The following is a 6,193-nucleotide window of genomic DNA, read 5'->3' on the forward strand; positions in this document are numbered from 1 at the left end:
AGAAAGAATCAAATTGACCATTTGAAAGACCAAAAAAAGAGCAGAACATGAAAATATGAAATACCAATGGCTAATAAATATTTTTTATTAAACAAATTAACTTTACTAGCAAGTAAAGAAAATAAATGAGATATAAATGTCACAAAGAGAAATAGCCCCTTATCTCTAATCAAATTGGAAAATATTTTACTTTTTATAGTAATATCTAGTGATATCCAGAGTGCAGAAAACAGGCATTTTCAAACACTGCTGGACATAGAGCGGAGTAAATCAGTGGAGTATTTAGAAATATTTATCCAAAGTCTTAAAAATTTGACCATCCAATTTCACTCTTAGGAATTTACTCCAAGGAAATAAATATGAATGTATCTAAAGAATACTTATTATAGAATTATCTAAAATAATAGAAGTGGAATCAAAACCCAACAATAAGGAATTAGTGAAATAAATATAGTTCTTCCATATGATAGAATGCAGTATAGCCATTAAAATCATTGTTCCAGAGTATCTAATAATACAAGGAAACGTTTCAGACATAATGTTAAATGAAAATGGCATGTTACAAAAGAGTATTACTCCAGTTTTGAAAAATAAAAAGAGAATAAGTATATTTACTTACATAGAAAACTGAAAAAATACACATCAAAATGCTTAATGATTATTATTTTAGTGTGATGGAATTTCTCTGTGTGTGTGTTATAATTTCTGTATTTTTCAATGTTTCCACCGGGGACATACATTTCTTTAATAATCAGAGAAAAAGATACACGTATCTATCTTTATATCATATTGATTCATATATATATATAATAAATGTAAATGCTGGGCTTATGCAATCCTCCCACCTCAGCTTCCTGAATAGCTGGGACTACAGGCATGCACCACCACGCCCAGCTAATTGTTGTATTCTTTTGTAGAGATGCAGTTTCACCATGTTGTCCAGGCTGGTCCCAAACTCCTGGGTTCAGGTAATCCACCTGCCTTGGCCTCCCAGTGTGTTGGGATTACAGGCATGAGCCACGCCTGGCCCTAGCAAAATTTCTTATATATACATTGTTGGTAAGAGTGTAAATTATTATAACCACCTTTGAAAGCAGTTTGGCATTAAGTTGGACAATTGAGTATTCACATACTATATAATCCAAGTAATTCTTCTTATAAATATACTTTTGTACATGTACAAGAATATACATAGATGCTCTATTTGTACTAGCAAAATCCTCGAAACAAGCCAAATGCCCATTGACAGGAGAATGAACGAAGTGAGGTATATGTACACAGTGGAATACTATATAGTAATAAAAGTGAATGAACTACATGCAACAATATGAAAGAGCCTGAACAATTTATTATTAAGCGAAAAAATAGGTAGAATATTAATTACAGAGCGTACCCTTTTTTTTTTTTTTTTTGAGACAGAGTTTTACTCTTGTTGCCCAGGCTGGCGTGCAATGGTGTGATCTCAGCTCACTGTAACCTATGCCTCCTGGGTTCAAGCGATTCTTCTGCCTCAGCCTTCCAAGTAGCTGGAAGTACAGGCATGCGCCACCATACCTGGCTAATTTTGTATTTTTAGTAGAGATGGGGTTTCTCCATGTTGGTCAAGCTGGTCTTGGACTCTCAACCTCAGGTGATCCACCCACCTCGGCCTCCCAAAGTGCTGGGATTACAGGCATGAGCCACTGCATCTGGCCAAGTGTATCCTTTTTACAAAATTAAAAAGTAAAGCTAAACAATATATTTTGGGAATGAATATATGTGATAAAACTAGAGATATGTAAAAACAAAAGAATAATAAACAATATAGTGGTTATTTTGGGTGGGAGAAGGCTGAAAGATGGGAAGAACGACAAGCATATGGGTAAAACGTATCAAGTTAATGTCAATATCTTAGTTTCTTCGTTGGGTGGCAGGTTCATAGTTGTTGGAGATGTTTAAGAAGAGTTCCCATCTGCAAGGAGTGTGGTTGGTGCTAGTTAGTGATTAGCCCCCAACTTTTTTTTTTTTTTTTTTTTTTGAGGAAAGGTCTCACTCTGTCACCCAGGCTGGAGTGCAGTGGTGTGATCACAGCTCACTGCAGCCTCAACCTCCCAAGGCTCAGGTGATACTCCTGCTCCAGCCCCCAGAGTAGCTGGGACAAAAGGTGCATGCTGCCAGTGATTTCCTTTTACAACCCCTACAACAAACTGCTTACTCAACTTTGTTAATAGCTACTCCCTTCCCCCACATGCAGACTCCAGGACCTCAAAGACAACTTGGTTGTTCCTCTCTTACAGCACATTGCCAGCCATTCTTCAAATTAGTCTCTTGTCCTACAACATATGACCTGTTCAAATGGGATTTTAGCTGTCTTTCAGATGGAGACACTTGACTGTGTTTCGCTTATTCCCAGTGACCTCGCAAAAGCAATGGAAAGATCCTGTAGAGGTTCTTATTATGGGAGAGTGTGCTCTGCTGGCAAGAGTTTAATTCTAGGTAGAAGACCCACCTGGGTTGTGATTAGAAGTCCTTGGGCCATCAGAATGTCTTGCAAATGAAATAGGTGCTTTGGGAGGTGGAGAGTTCTCCAACACTGGAGGTATTCAAACAGAATCAAGGGGAGCATTTGGACTAGCTGTCCTCTAAGGCCGCTTCTAACTCAGGATGTGAGTCCAGGTTTCATCCTCTTCCAGAGGGCAATCAGAGCACAGCCCTCTGTAGTAGATTGAGTGGCATTTTTAATTCTATGCATTATCCCCCACCAGCAATTTTGTCACAAGTTAATAGCCTGTCCTATTAACTTAGATTGTAACACTAATTAGGTACCTGGCATACGGGTATTTATGAGCCTTGAAAATAAGGGCCAAAACAAGGCCAAACACATTTTTATGAGCTGTTCTCCTTCCCTACAATGAATTCCCATATTCACAGAGATAATGATGAAATAAGAAATGTGCTTGGTATCCTTCATGTATGTGTACATTTCTTAAGATCACAAGTACCTTTAACTGATCTTGACAGCCAGAGAACAATTCATTCAGGCAACTTTTTTCCTTATAGGTTTTATTTGGTATCTTGTTCAGATTCCAGGCTTCTCTGGGTGACCTCGTGATTTGATTGTCTGATCAGGGAACATTACTCATTAAAAATAAATGTACAAAGAGGTTTGGAGATTGAAGTTTCATGTTTTATTTGTTGAAAAGAAAGAGGTCATGTCAACTAATCAAATTCAACATACGTAAATGCAATTCCCAAGCCTCTGAATGCAGGGTATAAAGAAGGGATTACAAAACCAACTCGTTAACAAGTACTGAGGGAGGTTTCTTAAATGTCTGGGTTCTACTAAATACAGACCGACCGCCCAAGTGGTCCCACTCTGCTTTTCTGTCCATTTAGGTTCTGTCGGATGCCTGATTTTAGGATATTTTACTCTAGGAGCTAAGATGGTTTAATTTCATTTAAACATTCCATTTGTACAGCAAAAATGGGAAATGACTCTTCCTAGCTCAAATCATGACTTTCCATTATCCCCTTTAGTGTCTTTTTCTTCTTTAACATGGTATTAAGGATGGGAGAAAAAGCATGGGGTTTTGAATTAAAAACTAAAAAGAAATTGGGTTTCAGATTAGCTCTGTTACTAGTTTTGTTACTTTGATGAGGAATTTTACAGTTTTGAGGTTTATTCATTTTTAAAATTGGATAGATAACTATATCCACTCTCACAACAACCCTGTAAGATGGATATATAACTGTATAACTATAACCATATGACTAAATCCATCTCATAGGGTTGTTGTGAGAATTAAATAAAACTGTCATGTGTTTAGAATTTTCTTTGTTCTGGAAGGGATTTAAGGCAGCTTTATAGATAAGGCTCTAGTAAACACACAACTTTATAACACACACGTATGTCACACACAGACTCATATGACATATATACACACTATACACCAATGTAGCATAAATTTAAAATATACATAAAAGATGAAAGGAAAACAAAAGTGGGAACATATAGTGAAGTCAGAAGTGAGAATAAAAATATGAATGAGATACAAATTTGATTGTAATATTTACAGCAAATAGCAAAAACTAAAAATAAAAAAAGGAAGCCTAGTCTATAGAACATTTCACAGTATCCATAATGTAAAAGGAACCAGTCGTCCCGGAGAACTAGTAAATGTCATTGTTTCCAGAAGACAGTATATGAGGCAATGGACAAAGTCTTTGACAATGATCTTACAGTAAATGCAATGATGCACTTCATAAGGCTGTTTATTATATGGATTTTTTATGACATTACCCAAAAGTAAAATATGACCAAAAAATCCTAGAACATGTAGAAGTTGCTTAGAATATGTTTCTAGGTATATTGCATCCTGGTGACTTGGCTTGCCTGTCTAGGAGGATACATGGACCATGTATGCTTCAAGCAATTCTCCATGTACTAAGAAAGAGATGAACCTATAAGCAACAAGATGCTATAGAACAATGGATAGTCACTCTCCCAGTACCTCTAGCCCAAGAAATGTTACTTGTGTCTCTGTTTGTGGAACTGTCATGATTACAAAGCAACTTGATAGACTTAACCTTGATAAAGTTAATTCCTGAAGACTTAAAGGGTGATTCCTACTAGGAATATCTGCATTTCAATAAGCAACTCTTGAAGCTCCCAAACCCTGAAAGCCCTAAAGAAATGGTCTTTAATGAAAATGCTTTGTTCACAATGACAAGACAGGTACAGAGGAGGTTTTCTTCCTGGGATTTTATTTTCTACATAAGTGGCCATTGATGCCCTTACTTATAAAACTATATGTCTCTAGGGTGAGATTCCAAGTCTAAATCTAATACAATTTTTTTTAATTTTCAGATTTTTAGAAGAGGCCATTTTATAAGGAAGACACTTTCATTGAATGTGTTTTCCAAGAGAACTGTTGCTAACAGTATGTTACTTATGTGTCCTTCGTAATTCCCATGTGCTTGTCCCATGAATAGATCTCACTCTGTTCCCAAGAGCAACAAACCATTCACAACAAGACCTGATGAAAACAAGTTATTTTCAAATTGATTTTCCTTTCTGTAAAAAGCTCTTATCATCCAATTTACTAAAAAATTTCTTCTAATTAAAGGCTCATTATTTAAAAAAAAATACAGCTTCAATCTTTATGCCATTAGGTAAGAACATGCTCTGAAAATCAAGTAGCTTTCAGCAGTACAAAAGAAAATGAATTCTTTGAACTGGGAGTTGCGTTGGAAAGAGATTGCTACCTGGAAAGCTGATCAATACCTTCTGTGTTTCAATCCATAAATGTATGATAATCAGTCAGGAGTGGCAGCTGTCACACTCCCCAATGTTATGGAAAGGATTACAATAAGCAAGATAACAGAGTTACCATTTCATCTTTCAGCCTCCATGCTTACAGTGCCTTCAGCTGACGGAGGCCAGAATTACTCACCTGCCATTCTCAAAACCCTTCTTATTAAAAGAATATAGTGATCACTTAGTTACTTTAGACTGGTGGAGCCTGTGTGTTCTGCTGGAGTTCATGAATATTACAATAGCAGAAAAACAGCACAAGTTGGCTCTCTATATCCTTCCAGATAATGAAGAGTTTCTTAGGGGCTGAATAGAGTCTCTTTTAAGAAAGGATGGGTTTTTTTAACCCACGTTTTTATCCATTTTACCTGAAGAAATCACTATTTACAAAGAGAGAATGGGTATCATTGGGTGAAAGTTCGCAAAACCATTAAGCAGAAACATTCATTGATCAACCAAGTTCTTTCTAACTAATTCACTGGAGCCTTGCTGAATACAGAAAAAGTCCAGGAAACAAAGAGTGAGGCTTCAAGTGGTGGTCAAATTAATGGTCAGCTGGGAGACTGCTAGATACCCAAGTCACTCCCGTATGGGCAGACGGTGAATCCACAGGGGTCCCATCAGGAGAGAGAAAATACACAGTCATTTACACAGGGAAGTTTAATATAAAAAATTGCTGAGTTATGATAGGAGAGCAACCATCAGGATGTAAAGATAACCCTAAAAGATACCATAGGGCTGAGGGAGAGTATCTAAGGAGGGACAAACTTGGGAGGGCCCCCACCCACCAAGCCTGGGGTTCAGACCTTGCTGGAGAAGGGATGGTTGCAGCCCAGTGGTAGCAGATAATTTTGCTGGGTTTCCAGTTCTAGCTCATCCATTGGTGCTGAGCAACAAGAG

General features: G+C 37.1%; 1 annotated feature.

Moving 5' to 3' along the window:
• Positions 4,369-4,569: a silencer, noted in NCBI's record as "peak5692 fragment used in MPRA reporter construct". NCBI's record gives its function as "represses an SCP1 promoter by STARR-seq MPRAs in K562 erythroleukemia cells {active_cell/tissue: K562}" and the evidence as "EXISTENCE:reporter gene assay evidence [ECO:0000049][PMID:32103011]".

This window comes from Homo sapiens, chromosome 6 (genome assembly GCF_000001405.40).
Source record: "Homo sapiens chromosome 6, GRCh38.p14 Primary Assembly".
Classification (NCBI taxonomy): Eukaryota; Metazoa; Chordata; class Mammalia; order Primates; family Hominidae; genus Homo; species Homo sapiens.